Source organism: Homo sapiens, chromosome 1 (assembly GCF_000001405.40).
Source record: "Homo sapiens chromosome 1, GRCh38.p14 Primary Assembly".
Taxonomy (NCBI): Eukaryota; Metazoa; Chordata; class Mammalia; order Primates; family Hominidae; genus Homo; species Homo sapiens.
This window is the reverse complement of record NC_000001.11, coordinates 28,764,989-28,786,847: the sequence shown is the minus strand read 5'-3', so window position 1 is coordinate 28,786,847 and position 21,859 is coordinate 28,764,989. Positions and strand designations below refer to the sequence as shown.

General features: G+C 45.6%; 1 protein-coding gene across 3 annotated transcripts in view, besides 2 other annotated features; it reads right to left on the bottom strand.

Moving 5' to 3' along the window:
* Window positions 1,053-1,102: an enhancer, noted in NCBI's record as "active region_606". NCBI's record gives its function as "activates an Ori minimal core promoter by ATAC-STARR-seq in GM12878 lymphoblastoid cells {active_cell/tissue: GM12878}" and the evidence as "EXISTENCE:reporter gene assay evidence [ECO:0000049][PMID:35858748]".
* Window positions 11,397-11,691: an enhancer, noted in NCBI's record as "tiled region #15715; HepG2 Activating non-DNase unmatched - State 18:Pol2, and K562 Activating non-DNase unmatched - State 18:Pol2". NCBI's record gives its function as "activates a minimal TATA promoter and a strong SV40 promoter by Sharpr-MPRA in HepG2 and K562 cells {active_cell/tissue: HepG2 | K562}" and the evidence as "EXISTENCE:reporter gene assay evidence [ECO:0000049][PMID:27701403]".
* Window positions 17,073-21,859, bottom strand: part of YTHDF2 (YTH N6-methyladenosine RNA binding protein F2) — a 33,152-nt gene continuing 28,365 nt past the window's right edge. For all 3 annotated transcript variants that reach the window (NM_001173128.2, NM_016258.3, NM_001172828.2), the window contains one exon: window positions 17,073-17,919. In NM_001173128.2, coding sequence (NP_001166599.1) covers window positions 17,896-17,919 — 24 coding nt within the window. In that variant the 3' untranslated portion in view covers window positions 17,073-17,895. The remainder of the gene's footprint in view (window positions 17,920-21,859) is intronic.

Here is a 21,859-nt window from a genome sequence, read left to right as displayed (position 1 = left end):
ATGAGCCACCACACACAGCCTGAAAACACTCTTAAAGTATCAGCAAAGACCTATGATTTAGCAAAGAAACCACCTAGAATTCATGATTCATTCACTCAAGTTTATTGAGCCTCTACTATATGCCTGACACATAAATCTCAATTGAATAACTTTCTTCAGACCCTTCTGTATGCATTGCATTAATTTCATAAGACCGTTGTCCTTTCATTGCCTAGGCATGGTGGTTCACACCTGTAATCCCAATTCCCAGAACAGCCTGGGCCACATGATGAAACCCTATATCTACAAAAAAATACAAAAAATAGCTGGATGTTGTGGTGGGTGCCTGTAGTCCAGCTACTTGGGAGACTGAGGTGGGAGGATTGCTTGAGCCTGGGAGGCAGAGGTTGCAGTGAGCCGAGATCACGCAATTACACTTTAACCTGGGTGACAGAGCCAGACCTCATCTCAAAAAAAAAGAAAAGAAGAATGAATGTTGTCCTTTCATTAAAAATGTGAGGCTGGGCTCAGTGGCTCATGCCTGAAATCCTAGTACTTTGGGAGGCCGAGGCAGGCAGATCACTTGAGGTCAAAAGTTTGAGATCAGCCTAGCCGACATGGTGAAACCCCATCTCTACTAAAAATACAAATATTAGCCAGGCATGGTGGCATGTGCCTGTAATCCCAGCTACTCGGGAGGCTGAGGCACAAGAATCGCTTGAACCTGGGAGGCAGAGGCTGCAGTGAGCCGAGATCAAGCCACTGCACAGCCTGGGTGACGGAGGGAGACTCTGTCTCCAAAAAAAAAAACAAACAAACAAACAAAAAAAACAAGAAGTGAGGTCTCACCAGAACTTTTTATTTAATCTCCCACCAAACTCAGGATAACCCAGCCATCCTTGACAATTCATCATTCCCCCAGTTTCCCATGAGTCTGTTACCTCTACCCAGAATGTCCTCCAACTGGATAAATTCTCCTTATGTTTAGGCCCAGTTCAAATGTCATCTCTGTGAACTTTCCCCAAATGCCTCAAACTTAATCCTCCTTCCTCAGGGCTCCTAAGGGCCAGAATAGCACTTGTCTTCCCATATAGCGTTGGTGTCTCTGTGGGGCTGCAGTCTCCCTGACCCAGCTGTGCCTCTTCTTCTTCTTCTTTTTTTTTTTTTTTGAGACGGAGTCTCGCTCTGTTGCCCAGGCTGGAGTGCAGTGGCGCAATCTCGGCTCACTGCAGGCTCCGCCCCCCGAGTTCACGCCATTCTCCTGCCTCAGCCTCCCGAGTGGCTGGGACTACAGGCGCCCACCACGTCGCCCGGCTACTTTTTTGTGTTTTTAGTAGAGACGGGGTTTCACCGTGTTAAGCAGAATGGTCTCCATCTCCTGACCTCATGATCCGCCCGCCTCGGCCTCCCAAAGTGCTGGGATTACAGGCGTGAGCCACCTCGCCCGGCCGCTGTGCCTCTTCTTATAAGCCCGTAATAAATTTTTCAAAAATCACCCAACTCCACTCCCTCCCCGGGTCAAAACGGGACTCTGTGCCCAGACTGCAAGGCTCAGGCTGAGCAGCCATCTCAGAAAATACTTCTGTACTGCCACCTCCTGGCAAGATGGGGTATGACAGCTACTGATTCTGGCTTTTCTGGAGTTCTCTCAACTCCTTGTATTCTTTCATTCATTCGTTCTTTTGTTCCTTCTGTGCCAAACTCAGGTTATCTGGTGAGCCAGACAGACCTAGTTCCTGACCTCAGGGAATTTAGAATTTAGAGCAGAAGACACATTAGGAACTGGAATGTTATGGGAGCTATGATCCTGAATGTTTTGAGGCCACAGGAAATGGGGTGGCTTTGCCTATATCTAAAGCTGCCACCCCAGAGGCCATGACTGGGGTATAGTCTGAGCACGACATTGCCCTGCTATTTTGGCTACTAAGACTCTCACTTGGGAAGTGCATCTGTGACCAGGCCTGTCCTCCATATCCACCCTCTACACATTCTCCTGTGATGTTTTTTGGGGGACTCTGTCGCCAGGCTGGAGTTCAGTAAGGCGATCTTGGCTCACTGAAACCTCCACCTCCTGGATTCAAGCGATTCTCCTGCCTCAGCCTCCTGAGTAGCTGGAATTACAGGCACTTGCCACCATACCCGGCTAATTTTTGTATTTTTAGTAAAGACGGTTTCACCATTTTGACCAGCCTGATCTTGAACTCCCAACCTCAAGTGATCTGCCTGCCTCAGCCTCCCAAAGTGCTGGGATTACAGGCATGAGCCACCACACCCGGCCCTTTGTCATGTTTTTTTTTTAACATGATAACAACGGCCGGGCTTGGTGGCTCACGCCTGTAATCCCAGCACTTTGGGAGGCCGAGGCGGGCGGACCACAAGGTCAGGAGTTCAAGACCAGTCTGGCCAACAGAGTGAAAACTCTACTAAAAAACTACAAAAAAGGTGGGGCACAGTGGCTCATGCTTATAATCCCAGCACTCTGGGAAGCTGAGGTTGACAGATCACGAGGTCAGGAGTTCGAGTCCAGCTTGACCAATATGGTGCCCTGTCTCTACTAAAAAAACTACAAAAATTGGCCAGGCATGGTGGCGCGCACCTGTAATCCCAGCTACTCAGGAGGCTGAGGCAGGAGAATCGCTTGAACCCAGGAGGCAGAGGTTGCAGTGAGCTGAGATCATGCCACTGCACTCCACCCTGGGCAACAGAGCAAGACTCCATCTCAAAACAAAAACAAAAACAAAAAAAATTAGCCGGGTGTGGTGGTGTGCGCCTGTAATCCCAGCTACTCAGGAGGCTGACGCGGGAGAATCGTGTGAACTGGGGAGACAGAGGTTGCAGTGAGCTGAGATCGCGCCACTGCACTCCAGCCTGGGCTACAGAGCGAGATTCCGTCTCAAAAAAAAAAAAAAAAAAAAAAAAGATAACAATTAAGAAAAACAGTACACCATACTAAAAACAACTCAGCATCTCTCTCAGTTCCTCTGAATGGCTGGGTCCTGGAATCCATTTCATACCTTCTTGAAGTGAGCTGGAAGAGACCTTCACTTTCATTTATTCATTCTGTAGATAAGCATTGAGCATGTATTAGGTACTAGGCATTGTGTTAAATGCTGAGGGGGTAACAGTGAACAAGAAAGCAAATGGTGTATACTCTCATGAAGTTTATGTTCTCTGTAGGGAGAGAGAAAACAAAGTAAGTACACAACTTTTAAGTATTTCTTGTTAATAGGTGGTACATAATGTGATCCAGAATGCAAAAGGATGCACAATGAAAAGCTCCCCACTCTTACCCCAGCCGCCTAGTGCGCCCCCATAGGGCAAGCAATGTTATCAGTTTCCCCTGTAGCCATCCAGATATAACATATACATGTACAAGCAAATGTATTCTCTCCCTCATTCTTGTTATACAAATGGTGGTATTTTATACACTCTGTGCTGTACTTTGGGTTTTTTCCACTTACCAATATATCTTAGAAAGCATTTTTTTTTTTTTTTTGAAATGGAGTCTCACTCTGACGCCCAAGCTGGAGTGCAGTGGCGCAACCTCGACTCACTGCAAGCTCCACCTCCTGGGTTCACGCCATTCTCCTGCCTCAGCCTCCCAAGTAGCTGGGACCACAAGCGCCCACCACCACACCCGGCTAATTTTTTGTATTTTTTTAGTAGAGACGGGGTTTCACCGTGTTAGCCAGGATGATCTCGATCTCCTGACCTTGTGATCCGCCTGCCTCGGCCTCCCAAAGTGCTGAGATTACAGGCGTGAGCCACTGCACCCGGCCAGAAAGCATTTTATATCAATACATGGATTCTTACCTTTTGTTCAGTTGTATAGTATCCATTGTATGAGTATTACATGATTTAAAATAATGTTACAGGGCCGGATGTGGTGGCTCATGCCTGTAATCCCAGCACTTTGGGAGGCCGAGGCAGGCGGATCACAAGGTCAGGAGATCGAGACCATCCTGGCTAACATGGTGAAACCCCGTCTCTACTAAAAAAATACAAAAAATTAGCCGGGTGTGGTGGTGGGTGCTTGTGGTCCCAGCTACTTGGGAGGCTGAGGCAGGAGAATGACGAACTCAGGAGGCGGAGGTTGCAGTGAGCCAAGATTGCGCCACTGCACTCCAGCCTGGGCTACAAGAGCGAAACTCCATCTCAAAAAAAAAAAAAAAATCCCAGCTACTCAGGAGGCTGAGGCAGGAGAATCGCTTGAACCTGGGAAGGAGGCTGATGCCATGGCATGGGTAGGGTGACAGCAATGGGGGTGGAGAAACACTGGCGATGTGGGGATTTATTTTGGAAGTGGAGCTCACAAGACATGCTGATGGGAGTGGGTTAATCTCACAGATCATGCAGCCCAGGTCCCTCACTTCCCAAACAGGCCAAGCCTAACGACTTGCTTGTCACAGGTCAGAGCTCTGTAGTGGTGGATCCTGGCCTAGAATCCAACGTTTCTGACTCCCACATCAGTGTTCTTTCACTTTAGTGAAGCAGAAGGAGTTGGAATTTGAGTAGAAACTGTAATCTTGAAATTCTATGCGCCAATAATTACTGACATATTCCTTTTTGTTGTTGTTGGGCAGCTTTCTGTTGGCTTTCTTGACTCCCTGCCTCAGGGTAGAAAGACACAGATCTGGGGTGGGTGGAATCTCAGATATACCACACCCTGTGGCCAGCCTGGAGCAAAGGGGACAGGCAATGTGGGGGATGGGGATGGTGAGTGTAGAGAGGATATTCGGGAGACCTCACTGATTAGGTCGTCCCTGCTGTAAAACCTGAAGGAGGTGAAGAAGTAAGTGGGCCTTGCAGATATATGAGGGAAGAGTATTCTGGGGGAAGGGGCAGCTGGGAAGAAGATCCTCTAGCAGGAGCCTGCATGTCTGGAGGCCACAGTGAGTGGAGCAGACAGGAACAGCGGGAGGTAAGGAGAGACTGGAGATGGGCCTCAGATGGTCAAGGCTTTGTCGGCCGTTGAAGGGTTTAGCGTTTACTCTAAGTGAGATGGGGGCCATGAGAGGGTGAGCTGAGAAGCGACGTGATTTGGTGCACATTTTATGGGATCCCTCTGCTGCTGTGTGGAGAACAGACTGGAGGAAGCAAAGGTGGAAATAGAAACTAGCCAGGAGATTACTGCAATCGTCCAGATGAGAGGATGGTGACTTGGCCCAGGATGGATATGGTGATAAGGGAGGAGACCACCCCTCATATCGTCTTATACCCAATTTCTGCCTCCAAAGAAAGAAGAAGTAAAAACTACAAGGCAGAAATGAAATCCACAAGCAGACAGCCCGGCGCCGTGCCCTGGGCCTGGCAGTTAAGATCGACCCCTGACCTAATCTGACCCCTGACCTAATCGGTTATGTTATCTATAGATTCCAGACATTGTATGGAAAAGCACTGTGAAAATCCCTGTCCTGTTCCGTTCAGATCTGATTACCGGTGCATACAGCCCCCAGTCACATACCCCTTGCTTGCTCATTGGATCACGACCCTCTCACGTGGACCCCCTTAGAGTTGTGAGCCCTTAAAAGGGTCAGGAATTGCTCACTCGGGGAGCTCAGTTGTTGGAGATGTGAGTCTTGTCGAAGCTCCCGGCTGAATAAAGCCCTTCCTTCTTTAACTCGGTGTCTGAGGGGTTTTGTCTGCGGCTTGTCCTGCTACAGTGAGACATGGTCACCAAGAAAATATAACTGACTAATCTGATGTAGGATGTGACAAAGGGAGCCAAACATTACTCCCAGGATTTGGTCTGAGAAACTGGAAGGATGTGTTCATTATTAATGAGATGGAGCAGATGAGGAAGGACAAGGTTTGTGTTTAAAAGTGTTGGGTTTGAGGCCAGGCACAGTGGCTCACGCCTGTAATCCCAGTACTTTGGGAGGTCGAGGCGGGCAGACCACCTGAGGTCAGGAGTTCAAGACCAGCCTGGCCAACATGGTGAAACCTTGTCTCTACTAAAAATACAAAAATTAGCTGGGCACAGTGGTGGGCACCTGTAATCCCAGCTACTCAGGAGGATGAGGCAGGAGAATTGCTTGAACCCAGGAGGTGGGTTGCAGTGAGCCAAGATCGTGCCACTGCACTCCAGCCTGGGTGACAGAGGGAGACTCTGTCTCAAAAAAAAAAAAAAAGTGTTGGGTTTGAGATGTTGCCAACATCCAGGGGAAAGCCTGGGTTGACAGTTGAATATACGAGTTCAGGAGACATCTCTGGGCTCTCTGTATTTGGGGGTTGTTGGCACATGGGTAGTGACTAAAGCCACAGGCCTGGACGAAATCTGGTGAGTGTGGACAGAAGGTCAAGGACTAAGCCCTGAGATCAAAGACAAAGAACTGAGGAGGAACCGGGCCAAGGAGACTAAAAAGGAACAACCAGTGAAACAGGAGGAAAATCAAGAGGCATGCTGTGCCAGAATCCAAGGGAAGGAAGGAGAAAAGCATCAACAATGTCACAGGTTGCTTATAGATCAGAGAAGATGAGGACTGAGAATTAGCAATGTGGAATAGTGGCCTTGCCAGGAGCAGTTCTGCTGGAATGAAGAAGAGAGCCTGAACTGGAGTGGGTAAGAGAAAATGGAAGGACAGAAATGGAGCCAGTGAGCAACAGCTTCCTCTCTGGGGTTTTGCTGCAAAAAGGAAGAGAGAAATGGGCAGTAATAACTGGTGGAAGAAATAGGAGAAACAGGCCGAGCACGGTGGCTCATGTCTGTAATCTCAACACTTGGGGAAGCCGAGGTGGGAGGATTACTTGAGCCCAGGTGTTCGAAACCAGCCTGGGAAACATACAGAGATCCTGTCTCTACAAAAAATAAAAATAAGCCCAGTGTGGTGGTGCATGCCTGTGGTCCCAGCTACTCAGGAGGCTGAGGTGTGAAGATCGCCTGAGTCTGGGAAGTGGAAGCTGCTGTAAGTCATGATTGCGCCACTGTACTCCAACCTGAGTGACAGAGCAAGACTCTGTCTCAAAAACAAAAAGAAGAAAGAAAAAAAGAAAAAAAAAGCATAGAAAGAAAAAAAAGAAATAGGAGAAACAACAGCATGTTTGTATGTTAATGGAAATGATCCATTAGAGGTAAAATTATAATGTGGGAGAAAAAGAGATTTGATGAAGCCATCTTTTCTGCTTTTTTTGTTTGTTTGTTTGTTTATTTGAGACAGTGTCTTACTCTGTCTCCCAGGCTGGAGTGCAGTGGCATGAACATGGCTCACTGTAGCCTTGACCTCCTGGGCTAAAGCAATCCTTCTGCCTCAGCTTCTGGAGTAGCTGGGACTACAGTACCACCACACCTGGTTTTTTATTTTATGTAGAGATGAGATCTCACTATGTTGTCCAGTCTGGTCTCGAGCTCCTAGGCTCAAGTGATCTTCCCACCTGGCCTCCCAAAATGCTGGGATTACAGCTGTGAGCCACCAAACCCGACCAAGCCATCTTCTTGAGTTGCTGAGAGACTGAGATTTGATGCACAAATGGAGGGATTTGTTCTAGACAGAACCATGTGTAGTCCAAAGACATTGGTTCTCAAACTCTAGAGAGAACTTGTTAAAACACAGATGCAAGATTTCTGATTCAGGAGTTGGGGCCCAATAACTTGCATTTCTGACAAGTTCTCCAATGGTGCTGACGCTGCTGGCCAAGACCAGGCTTCATGAGATACTGATCTGTAACAGGTGGGAAGGCAGCATCTGTGACGGGGGTAGATGTAATGGAGTCTGTGACGTTTTGTTCTGATTGCTTCAATTTTCCTGTCTAGTTGAACTGGAAGTAAAGATGGGAGAGGAGGTGTTGGAGACCTGAGGAAAGGGAGAAGGTATGAAATGGTTCTCTTGAGAGTAGAAGGAATCTGGCCAGGCACAGTGGCTCACGCCTGTAATCCCAGCACTTTGGGAGACCAAGGCAGGCGGATCACGAGATCAGGAGATCGAGACCATCCTGGCTAACACAGTGAAACCCCGTCTCTACTAAAAATACAAAAAATTAGCCGGGCGTAGTGGCGGGCACCTGTAGTCCCAGCTACTCGGGAGGCTGAGGCAGAAGAATGGCGTGAACCTGGGAGGCGGAGCTTGCAGTGAGCCGAGATTGTGCCACTGCACTCCAGACTTGGCGACAGAGCGAGACTCCGTCTCAAAAAAAAAAAAGAGAGAGAGTAGAAGGAATCAATGAGAGAAAAGCTGATTTTCCTCCTGAGGCTGATGCTTGTGAATTAAAAATGAGACACCGGTTGAATGATTTTTCTCCAGCCACTCTAAACTGTACAGGTGCAGGTAGGTGGAGAGTTGGATGTAAATAGGGTTGTGGTTGTCAATTAAATTTGATGAAGCAAGAGAAAGGGGCCAGGGAGTTGATGGTGAATACTAATTAGGAAGGGGGATTATGGTGAACCATGGAATTGAAGCTAAGTAAAGAGAGATAGACGAGGCATGGTGAGGGAGAAAGAAATTAACTTTTCTTAAAAGTGGGTGCTTTCTTCTCAAAGCCTTACCCAACTTGCCTTCATCTCTCACCTCTCTGGACTTCTGTTAGCTGGCTCTTCCCTCCAGCCTCATACCCATGTTTCTTTATAGCACTCATCACCATCTGACAAATGTTTCCCTCTAAGGCAGGAGCTTTTTGATACCTGCTGTGGCTCCTGTGCTCTCCTCCACACTGTCCTCCTTATGCAATCCTGGTCAGCTTACTCTTCAACCACATATCCAGGACACATCCTGTAGGTCCGCATCAAAATGCCTTGATCTGGAATAACACCCATCTAAAAACTGAGTGCCTAACTTGTCGACTGAGTGGCTTCAAGAAAGCAGAAACCTAGAAAGGTTTGAGTTCCAATGCTAAAGAGTAAGATGAGAAGGATGGGCTTCTGCCAAGTTGCGATTGATGTCTGAGACCCAGGTCCTTGGGGCACCCCTCACCTCAGGATCCCAGAAGAGGATCCCAGAATGGCCATTTGAGGTTGTCACAGAAGTGCTGGGTCCTTTAGCAAACCAGTAAACTTACGGAATCACAACTTGAGAGGGGTTGGGGAACCATGAAGATGGTTTGGTATTATTTCATTTTTTTTAAAATTGTGTAGACGTGTATATTTAGGAACACAAACATGCTACATATACTGATTTTACTTTTTGAGACAAGGTCTTACTCTGTCACCCAGGCTGGAGTGCAGTGGCACAATCATGGCTCACTGCAGCCTTGACCTTCCCAGACTCAGGTGATTCTCCTACCTCAGCCTCCCCAGTAGCTGGGACTACAAGTGTGCACCACCACACCGGGATGATTTTTGTATTTTTAGTATAGACAGGGTTTCGCCACGTTGGCCAGGCTGGTTTCAAACTCCTGACCTCAAGTAATCCTCCAGCCTTAGCCTCCCAAAGTGCTGGGATTACAAGCATGAGCCACCGGGCCTGGCCCATATACTGATTTTATATGTTATAAAGCAAGTGTTTTTTTAAAAAGGTTTATAAGGATAGATTAGCGAAATGTTTTTTATTTATTTTTATTTATTTATTTATTTTTGAGACGGAGTCTTGATCTGTCGCCCAGGCTGGAGTGCAGTGGTGCGATCTCCACTCACTGCAACCTCCGCCTCCCGGGTTCACTCCATTCTCCTGCCTCAGCCTCCCGAGTAGCGGGTACTACAGGCGCCCGCCACAACGCCGGCTAATTTTTTGTATTTTTGGTAGAGACGGGGTTTCACCATGTTAGCCAGGATGGTCTCGATCTCCTGACCTCATAATCCGCCCGCCTCGGCCTCCCAAAGTGCTAGGATTACAGGCATGAGCCACTGCGCCCGGCCTAGCCAAATATTATACCAAGATTTTTGTTGTTGTTTGAGACGGAATCTTGCTCTCATAGGCTGTCTGCGGCATCCTTCACGAGCTGCGTGATATTGGGCAGGTCAGAGAATTGCTCTGTGCACGCATTTTCTCATCCAAAAAAGGAAATTGCCTCTGAAGCCACTTGATGGTATGAGTTTTACAGGGATTTAAATTGACGTTAGTGGTCCTTTTTTTTTTTTTTTTTTTTGAGACGGAATTTCACTCTGTCGCACAGGCTGGAGTGCAGTGGTGCGATCTCCGCTCACTGCAACCTCCGCCTCCCAGGTTCAAGTGATTCTCCTCCCTCAGCCTCCCGAGTAGCTGGGATTACAAGCACGCGTCACCACGCCCGGCTCATTTTTTGTATTTTTAGTAGAGACAGGGTTTCACCGTGTTAGCCAGGATGGACTGCGCCCGGCCTGTACACACTTTTTATTCTGCATGTGTAACTGTCTGAACTGTGTTAGCTGTTTGTTTGTTTTAAATTAGAACAGCACTACTGGGGCCCGGCGCGGTGGCTCACGCCTGTAATCCCAGCATTTTGGGAGGCGGAGGTGGCCGGATCACCTGAGGTCAAGAGTTAGAGACCAGCCTTACCAACAAGGTGAAACCCCGTCTCTACTGAAAATACAATTGGCCAGGCATGGTGACGGGCTCCCGTAATCCCAGCTACTTGGGAGGCTGAAGCAGGAGAATCGCTTCAACCCTGGAGGCAGAGGTTGCAGTGAGCCAAGATCGTGCCACTGCACTCCAGCCTGGGAGATAGCACTCCAGCCTGGGAGATGGAGTAAGATTCCATTTAAAAAAAAAAAAAAAGCACCAGTAACGTCAATTTAAATCCCTGTAAAACTCATACCATCAAGTGGCTTCAGAGGCAATTTCCTTTTTCGGACGAGAAAATGCGTGCACAGAGCAATTCTCTGACCTGCCCAGTATCACAGACCTCTTGAAGGATGGCACAGACAGCCTATGAGAGAGAGCTGAGCTGTGGAGGACGATGAAGAGGCGAAGGGCTCCTGTGGTTTCCAGAGATAAAGAAAAGCTAGGGAAAAAACGCCAATATAGATAGGGGCAGTTTTCTGGGTAGCTCTGCTCTTATGGAGCTCGCCAAATATAAGATGGTATATTCCTTAAACAGGATGCTGAGAAAACAAGAATCTTCATTTATTTCTCTTTTCCCCAATGCCCAACAATAGTAGCGACAGGAGCTCACAAAATACAGGTTAACTAACACATGGAAACAACAGATGAGTACACTCACACGCACACCTGGAGAGGGCAGCAAAATTGGGAGTTTCCTCGGGGAGCTGCCCTTCAGAGGCACCTCAACTTTTTCGAGTACATGAACCCACGGCCCGCAGGTCGGCTAACAGCTTTCCAACCTTTACCAAGCCTCATGTCTGAGCATTATTGAAGAGGCCGAAGAAAGCAATAAGCTACACATGACACGAATGTCATCTTTGCCTGGTTAGCAGGGTGGTGTGAAACCCCATTTCCCTCTCAGACGACCCAGCTCACCTGCGCAGGTGAGGGCCGGGCGCTTCCGCACAGGCGCAGAAGCAAGGGCGGACACCATCTTGAGCCGCAGCTCAAGGTGGCACAACCGCCGTCAGAGAGAAGGCGTACAAAAACCAGGCTGCGACGGGGTGGGGAAGCATGGAGGGAACCTGGCTACAGCCGGGCAGAAGGTGGCCCTCCTCCATCCGCAGGCACGGCGCACGCGCCGTCCAGCCGCCAAGCCCGGCCCCCGCAGGCGGAGCTCCAGAGCCTGTCCCGGAAACCCGGAGCCAAGGGCCCTAAAGGGCGTGGGACCTTCTGTAATTCCCTCCACTAGCTGAAGACCGCTGGCTTTCACCACACCATGTCAGCTTCCCACGTGCAAACCCGGCAGCTGTAATTAAACATCACAGTTCCAAAGGCTTCTCAGTAGTAAGGAGGTGCACCAGCTGCCCAGAAACCACTAGCGATGAGCGATGCTCATGACAAAGTGGCATTGCTTCCTAAAGCAGAAAAAATTGATTGCAAGTGGACTTACAGATCTGAATCCTAGGGACACCTTTACTTCCACTCTCATTTTCAAAACATTCATGACACGCAGGCCACAAGTCAACTTTCAAATAAAAGTCAAATAAGTGGTAACATCAAGTGCAATGTTAGCTCCATAATGAAAAACGAAAACTTAATTTTTTTAGTATGTTTTGAGACGGAGTTTCACTCTTGTCGCCCAGGCTGGACTGCAATGGCATGATCTCGGCTCACTGCAACCTCCACCTCCTCCTGGGTTCAAGCAATTCTCCTGCTTCAGCCTCCCGAGTAGCTGGGATTACAGGCGTGCACCACCACACCCGGCTAATTTTTGTATTATTAGTAGACATTAGTAGAGACGGGGTTTCACCATATCGGCCAGGCTGGTCTCGAACTCTTGGCCTCAGGTGATCCACCTGCCTTGGCCTCCCAAAGTGTTGGGATTACAGGCGTGAGCCATTGCCCCCGGCCGAAAACTTTTATTACAAGAGCATTTACTTTCTCACTGGTAGAGAAAGCTCCAAGGTGTGGGAACCAGGACTTCAAACATTCTAGGTAGGACTTCTAACGTTTTGGGGTCTCTATTTACAAGGCTTAACAGAGACATCGTGAAAGGATGTAAACCCATGAGCACTGAGCCATACCCTAGCTGAAGTACTGTCAAGTGGAAGCCCTCTAATTCCAGAGGATTCATTCACATGTAGCTTTTTAAAAGGTGAGGACAAAATAAAGTGGTTAAGTGTTTTGATTAGTCTCAATAATTCTCCACTTACCCTGGTAATAAGTCCCAGTTTAATAATCCATTGCAATTTGAAGAATTGCCTTTAAAAAAAGTTCAATAGGGCCGGGCACGGTGGCTCACGCCTGTAATCCCAGCACTTTGGGATGCCAAGGCAGCTGGACCACGAGGTCAGGAGTTTGAGAACAGCGTGGCCAACAAGGTGAAACCCTGTCTCTACTAAAACTACAAAAATTAGCCGGGCACGGTGGCAGGCACCTGTAATCCCAGCTGCTCAGCAGGCTGAGGCAGGAGAATCACTTGAATCCAGGCGGCAGAGATTGCAGTGAGCCGAGACTGCGCCACTGCACTCCAGCCTGGGCAAGAGACGCTGTATCTTAAAAGCAAAAAACAAAACAAAACGAAAAAACACCTCGATAATTCTGAAACATTCTCCAATAAAAGGAAGCAGAATTTCTTGGAAAAAAGTGGAATTGGGGCAGGGAAAATACAAGATTCCCAGGGAACATCTTACAGTACCAGAAGGGCAGACACCAGAAAATTTTTCTGAGACAGGGCCTTGCTGTTAGGCAGCTCACTGCAACCTCAACCTCCCCTGATCAAGTCATCCTCCCACCTCAGCCTCCCCAGCAGATGGGACTACAGGAGCATACCACACCTGGCTTATTTTCTGTAGAGACCAGGTCTCAATATGTTGCACAGGCTGGTATCAAATTCCCAGGTTCAAGGAATCCTCCCACCTCAACTTCCCAAAGTGCTGGGGTTACAGGCATAAGCCACAAAGCCAGACCACCAAAAATAATGACAGCATGTCAAGAAAACAAAGGAGCCAATTTTAAGGAGCTCCTAATGGCCAAAGCTGAGACAATTTGAGCAAAAGTGAATCCATACTGATATACTGAATAAATACAGAGAAGGGACACCTCCTTACAATAGAGTGCTAATTAATAAATGTAGAAGGACTAGAAATCGTGAAGCAACATTTGGCAAATGGCACAGGAACACTTGTTGCATGCAATAACAATCCATAGCTGCCCAAAGTTAGTGGGTCAAAGAATGATAGTTTCAGCTGGGCGCCTTGGCTCACACCTGTAATCCTAGCGCTTTGGGAGGCTGAGGCAGGAGGATAGTTTGAGACTAGCCTGGCAAACACAGCAAGACTTCATCCCTATTTAAAAATAAAATAAGCCAAGCACGGAGGCACATGCCTGCAGTCCCAGATACCCGGGAGGATTGCTTGAGGCCGGAAGGTTGAGGCTGCAGTGAGGAATGATTGTGCCACTGCACTCCAGACTGGGGAAGAGTGCAAGACCGTCTCCAAAAAGAAAAAAGTTTCCAAGTATATCCGATCCCCTAAGTTACATATTAAGTACAAAGGAGGAAATTAATAACTTTCCAATGGAGAAGTCTGGCAACACTGTAACCAAGTGATCAGAGTTAACATCACCAGTATGAAATCATGTGACAATCATGTATCCTGATACAATGCACTGAAAAAGGCACGGTGCTTTTGTGGCATTCTTGTCAAAGAATAACCTCAACCTAATAGTGAGAAATGATCAGATAAATCCAACTGGAAGGGCATTGTATAAAGTAACTGGCCAGTACTCCCTAAAAGTGTCAAAAAATGGAAACTGAAAAACTGTCACAGGCTAGAAGAGACTAAAGACAATTAAATGCAATGTGGGATCCTGGATTGGATGCTGAACCCCAAAAGATGACACAGTGTAACTCACACAACTCAAATTAGTTAATAGTACTGCATCAATATTTGCTAGTCTTGATAATTTTACTATGGTTATACAAGATGTTAACATTTGGGAAAAGCTGAGTGAAGAGTATGGTAACTCTCCATACTACATTTGCCTAAGTCTAAAATTATTTCAGAACGTTTTATATAATGGAACACACTAAGAGAAGATAACCAATCAAATACAGCTAAAATAAAATTGAGGGAAAGTGAAATTTATTTTGAGGATGGAGTGCAGTGGTGTCTCAGCTCACTGCAACCTCTGCCTCACAGGTTCCAGCAACTCTCCTGCCTCAGCCTCCTGACTAGTTAGGATTACAGGTGCACACCATCACACCCAGCTAATTTATGTATATTTAGTAGAGACGGGGTTTCACCATGTCGGCCAAACTAGTCTCAAACTCCTGACCTCAAGCGATCCGCCTGCCTCGGCCTCCCAAGGCACCAGCCTCAGGCTGGGCACGGTGGCTCACGCCTGTAACCCCAGCACTTTGGGAGGCCGAGGCAGGCAGATCGCTTGAGGTCAGGAGTTCCAGACCAGCTTGGCCAACATGGTGAAACCCTGTCTCTATTAAAAATACCGGCAAAGTTGTCTTTAACAATAAGAAAACTGGTTTAGCTGCATTTTGGAGTCTTTAGTAAAGAACAGTCTGATTTTTTATACTACAAGAAAAGCCAATGTGGTTTTTCTAAAATTCACAAATCCAAAAGGGAAGGCTAAGTATGCAACCTTATTAGGGGCTCCAAATTCTTTTCAGTCTACTCTTAAAAGCTGAAACAGTACTTTCTATGTGTGCTATAAAATACTGGGAACTACTATGTTGCTAACATTTCAAATTGCAAATAATCATCTCGAATAATCTCATATCCAACTTGAAATACTATGTAGGAAAATCTAGTTAAAATTGCTTTTGAATTTGCTTTTCTCTGGATTTTCCCTTCTCAAGGTCAAATACTAAAGAAGCCCAAGGGAGTCCTCTACAAGTCACAGAAGTTTGGGCTAAAAGTGAAAACGATGAGTGCCATACATATTAGTAGGAAATCTAGCACCTTCCTACTGATAAAAACACAAGGAACTCCCCCAAAATTTGAGGTAAATGTGCTTCAAAAAGGATGGCAGCCAGAAATATTTAGCAATATTGTACTGTGCCTCTGACAGGCCAAAAAAAGCTTTTGACTGCAAATGTCAATAATGGTGCTATTGGCTGGGCACAGTGGCTCACACCTGTATTCCCAGCACTTGGGGAGGCCGAGGTGGGCAGATCACCTGAGGTTGTGAGTTCGAAACCAGCCTGGCCAACACGGTGAAATCCCATCTCTACTAAAAGTACAAAAATTATCCGGGCATAGTGGCGCACGCCTGTAATCCCAGCTACTCAGGAGTCTGCGACAGGAGAATCACTTGAACCCGGGAGGTGGAGGTTGCAGTGAGCTGAGAGTGCACCACTGCACCCCAGCCAGGGAGACAGAGTGAGACCTTGAAAAAACAAAAGAGGGGAAAAGAAAGGAGAAAAGAAAAGAGAGGAAAAGGAAAGAGAAAAGGAAAAGGGAAGGGAAAGAAGGACAGGCAAGGGAAGGGGGGAAGGGAAGAAGGGAAGGGAAGGGAAGGGGGGAAGGCAAGAAGGGAAGGGAAGGGAGGAAAGGAAAGGGAAGGGAGGAAAGGAAAGGGAAGGGAAGGAAGGAATGGAAAGGGAAGGAAGGAAGGAAAGAGAGAGGAAGAAAGGAAGGAAGGAGAAAGAGAAGAAAGAAAAGCAAGCTAGCTAGCTATTTAGAAACCAGCATTTAATAATTTTATTGGTACTCCTGACTTTACTGTCCTGGGCTGTGTAGAACTCAGTAATTTTGAGGGCACGACTCTGTCCAACAGTATTAAAATCCATTTCCATAACCCTTTCTTAGTATAAATGTTAGATGTTTTCACACATGCAACTCTAAAAATGGAAACTTTTTTTTTTTTTGAGACAGAGTCTTGCTCTGTCACCAGGCTGGAGTGCTGTGGCACAATCTTGGCTCACTGTAACCTCCACCTCCTGGGTTCAAGCAATTCTCCTGCCTCAGCCTCCCAAGTAGCTGGGATTACAAGCATGCTCCACCATCCTCCAGCTAATTTTTGTAGAGACAGGATTTCACTATGTCGGCCAGGCTGGTCTCAAACTCCTGACCTCAAGTAATCCACCCGCCTCAGCCTCCCAAAGTCCTGGGATTACAGGCATGCGCCACTGTGACCAGCCTAAAATGGGAACATCTTAAGAGCTGAAAATCTTTTAAGATAGAGAAGCCTCTAAAACTGTTGAAAATAAACAAGAAGAAATGAAATGCTATTACAATTGTTATAAGGTTCCCAAAGACCCAAGACCACAGAAATTTTATTGTCAGGGATCTGCATCCATATGGAATATTGTCTAAAACCAATATTTCAAATTAAACACTTATTTCCTGGGCTCTACTTCCTCTGCATCTAAGATAGCTGGCCAGATTCCATGGAGTTAAGCATAGTGCCAGGCACCCAATAGTCTTAATATCTGTTGAACAAATGATTTAGCAATGACTCTACATTCTCTGCAAAGTATCCAGATATAAAGCATTATGAATATCAGCCCACCTTGCTTTTGCAGAGGTCATGGTTAACCAGCCCTGGGTACAAAGCAAGCCTGAAGTGTTTACTCTTAGCACAAACTCTGTAAAATTAGTTGCCGTCTCACCTGTTATACCCCCTTATACTCCAAATATTTAAAACACAGCAGACTCAAATAATACTAAATGGTACTAGAAGTGATGCTCAACAGGATCTCACGTTTATTGAGAAGTGATTAATGGTAAAAAGAAAGGCAATGCCCTTTCCTCATTGGCTGAACAAGAAACTGAAGAAACATTCACGACACGTTTTACAGTATTTTTCTCTTCCAAAATGCATTTCTGTAAACGAGTTTTTACCACTGTTCTCAGCTTTGAAATCAAATTAATCCTGACTTAATCAGTATAATGTACAAGAACAGAACATTTCTTAGGACTCCTAGTACTTTACTTTGAGTAACAAAAGGTCAGAGAAAATGAACCACCCTTAAAGACACAACCTTGGGTAACACTGTTATATTCTCCTAGACAAAAATTCTTCATAAAAATGTTCTTCCAGTTCGGAAGGATAAAATCAAATTCCCACTTTCTGGGGTGGATGCCCAAAACCTTCACAACTCAAGTGTTCTCCAAGTGCAAATGTCAAAATGGGAGGAGGAAAGGGTTTAAAAATTAGAGAAAACTGTATGCACTTACGGACTTAAAAATCCGAAAAACATAGTAAAAAGACAAAAAAACATAGCATTATGCTCTGAAATCACAACCAAAGCCAAAATAAAAGGGACATTTTTCACCTAAACTACCTAGAGGGATTTTTTGTTTAGTTTTTTCTTTTTCTTTTTTTTTTCATTTTCCAGTTAAGTCCTATGTCTTTTGTGAAATTCCAATACTTAAACTGCAAGTCTGCAATCGTCTCTGAAGTCAGTGAAATTAAGAAAAAAGTCCTAATTCTCTTGAAGGTCATTTTTTCCTCTTAGGATATGCAGATGCAACCGTTGCTGCAGTCTGTGTAGAACTGCCTTTTATTTCCCACGACCTTGACGTTCCTACAGAGGTAAGAAAAAAATTGAAATGGTTAAAAATTATCTGAACATGCTTTATGAATTTAAAAACTTCACAGAATAACTCAACAGAAATTTAATTATTTAGAATTATTAGAAAATTAATTATTCTAAGTAGAACATTCCCCACAAAGAAAAACTGGCTTTTACTTTGTTTTAAACACTTAAACACCTTAATGCAAAATTACTTTTGACTTGAAAATTCATTACATGCTTTCCTATTATACTGTTTAGATTAATACTTAGTTGTCAGGCCCCCCAAAAATATGGGCCTAATGGAAGTAACCCAAACATACATGACTGGTCAGATAAAGCAGAATACATACATACATAGTACACTAGAGTGTTAGAGTCAGACTGACCTAAATTCAAATCCCAAACTAGTCCCAAGGCCTTGGACATACTCATAAGTCCTCAATTTCCTTTTCTGAAAAGTGAAGGTAAGTATCTCACAGGGTTATGGAGAATTAATAAGCTGACATATAGAAAGCCCTTAGTCCACAGACAGAAAAAAAAAAACAAACCCACACATCTGGCCTCCTTCCCTAGGGAGGTGGTAATCTGACTACAATACTTATGTTTTCCCTGAAATAAATCCCAATGCTCATTTTCTTAAGAATCACTGTTTATGAGTCTTTCAGAAACTTATCCTAAATTCTTCCATTTCACACATTACTTCATGCACAGAATTTTAAAAAAAATTTTTTTTTCTTTTTGAGACAGAGTCTCGCTCTGTAGCCCAGGCTAGAGTACAATGGCGCGATCTTCGCTCACTGCAACCTCGGCCTCCCGGGTTCAAGCCATTCTGCCTCAGCCTCCTGAGTAGCTGGGATTACAGGCGCCGCCACCATGCCTGGCTAATTTTTTCTATTTTTAGTAGAGACGGGGTTTCACCATGTTGGCCAGGCTGGTCTCGAACTCCTGACCTTGTGATCTGCTCGACTCAGCCTCCCAAAGTGCTGGGATTAGAGGCGTGAGCCACCGCGCCCGGCCTCAGAATTTTTTAAATTTTACATTTTTACCAAGGCAGGTGGATCATGAGGTCAAGAGAGTGAGACATCCTGGCCAACATGGTGAAACCCCGTCTCTACTAAAAATACAAAAATTAGCTGGCGTGGTGGCACGCGCCTGTAGTCCCAGCACTTTGGGAGGCCGAGGCGGGCGGATCACGAGGTCAGGAGATCGAGACCATCCCGGCTAACACGGTGAAACCCCATCTCTACTAAAAATACAAAAAATTAGCCAGGCGTGGTGGTAGGCACCTGTAATCTCAGCTACTCAGGAGGCTCAGGCAGGAGAATGGCGTGAACCCGGAAGGCGGAGCTTGCAGTGAGCCGAGATCGTGCCACTGCACTCCAGCCTGGGCGACAAAGCGAGACTCTATCTCAAAAAATAAATAAATAAATAAATAAAATAAAAATAAATAAAATGAAATTCCACCTATTATCTCTTAATGTAACTCCAGAAATACAGACAATAAATTATTTGTCCCAAATTGTAACACTGAATTAGAAACTTAGACTATAGATGTCCTTTTTCCTAAGAAACATGTTTATATTTAAGTTAGTTGGCATACTTAATAGCATTTAAAATAGTCAAGAAAAAATTCAAAACAGCATCATGCAATTATATTTACTACAGCACTGTCTCATTCTTTAAACACCAAATTTGTTCCTCTTTATAATGTGCAATTTTAAGTCTCACAAATACCTATGTTCAATATTGCTTCAAAAGTCAAACTTTCTCAATTTTAACACAACAATACCAAAACAGCCAGAAGTGGTGGCTCACACCTGTAATCCCAACACTTTGGGAGGCCAAGGCAGATAAGACTGCTTGAGGCCAGGAGTTCAAGACCAGCCTGGCCAACATATGGAGACACTGTCTCTACAAAAAAAAAAAAAAAAATCTTTTAATTAGGCATGGTGGTGGCATGTGCCTGTGGTCCCAGCTACTTGGGGGGTGAGCTGGGAGGATGGCTTAAGCACAGGAGGTCAAGGCTGTAGTGAGCCCTGATCACACCACTGTACTCCAGCCTGGGTGACAAAATGAGACCCCATCATTAAAAAAAAAAAAAGAGAAGGAAAAGTATAGATTGGAAACAGAGTGGGAAGCCAGGGCATCAGTAGGCTCCTTCTTGAAGGACCTCCCACTGGCCAAATCTGTGACTTGAGCATTACGTAATATTAATGGTAAGTAAACACCTATCATAGTAATACCTGAATCAAGCAAGAATTATCAATGCTAGAATTAAAAGGAGACAGTTTGATGAGAAACAAGTTATTTACATAGTGTCAACTATTTTCCCACGTATTAAAAAAAAAATTAAGTGGAGAACCTGGTGGACAACACTTTACCCAAAGTGACCAAAGTTAACATTATCAGTAATGGCATAAACAGACATCTTGTACCTCCCAGTATGATGCACTGAGAAGGATACAACCTCACTTGAAACCAGTGAAGACAGACTTGAAACCAGTGAAGACAGACTTAGGAGGGCTGGGCGCAATAGCTCACTCCTGTAATCCCAGCACTCTGGGAGGCGGAAGCTGGCAGATAGCTTGAGCACAGGAGTTCAAGACCAGCCTGGGCAACCTGGCAAAGCCCTTGTCTTACATTACAAATACATACATACACACATACACACACACAAAATTATCTGGGTGTGGTGGCATGCACCTGTAGTCCCAGCAACCTGGGAAATCACTTAAGCCCGGGGAGATGAAGGCAGCAGTGAGCCATGATCGTGCCACTGCACTCTGGCCTAGGCAACAGAATGAGACCCTATCTCAAAACAATGAAAACAACAAATAACAACTTAGGAGACATGAAACCACGGTCTCCAAATGTTCGTGGACTAGAACTTGGACCACAAAAAAATTGCTATCAAGGACATTAAGACAACTGATAAAGTCTGAATAAGATCTGTGGGTAACAACATTGTGTCAATTAAATTTCCTGATTTTGATAAATGCACTGTGGTTATGTAACTGCATGTCTTTGTTCTTGGGAACTACACACTAAAATACCTAGGAGAAAAGACATGATGTCTAGACTGTAACTCTCTGGCTCAGGAAAACATTATATATACACATTTTAAAAACATTCAAATGATAAAGCAAATGTGGCAAAATGTGGAAGAGTAAATCTGAAATTATTCCAAGGCCCAGCATGGTAGCTCACATCTGCCACTCACACTTTAGAAGGCTGAGGCAGGGGACGTGCTTGAGGCCAGGAGTTCAAGACCAGCCTTGGGCAACATAGTGAGACCCTGTCTCTACAACAACAACAACAACAACAAATTTAACTTAGCTGGGTGTGGTGGTGCGTGCCTGTAATCCTAGCTACTTGGATTAGCTACTTGGAAGGCTGAGGTGGGAGGACAGCTTGAACCCAGGAGTTAGAGGTTACAGTGAGCTATGATGCCACCGCTACATTCTAGCCTGGCAGCCTGGGTGACAGAGGCCCTGTCTCTCAAAACTTTTTTTAAAAATGTATTTCAAAACATAAAACTGGGGGGAAGGGAAGAAATGAATTTATTTCTTCTGCAAAAAAGTTAGGTGCACTAAGTTATATTTAACACTTAATAACACTTTAATGTTTATATAATTACAGGCTGGGTGTGGTGGCTCATGTCTGTAATCTCAGTACTTTGAGGCCGAGGCAGGTGGATCACTTAAGGCCAGAGTTCGAGACCAGCCTGGGCAAGGTGGCAAAACCCCGTCTCTACAAAAAAAATACAAATATTAGCCAGCATGCTGGCACACACCTATAGTCCCAGCTGCTGGGGAGGCTGAAGGCAGGAGGATGCAGTGAGCCGAGATTGCACCACTGCACTCCAGCCTGGGTAACAGGTGAAGATAAATTTAAACCAGGAACAGAGGGCCTTACACCTTGTTCAGTCCTAGCTACTTGGGAGGCTGAA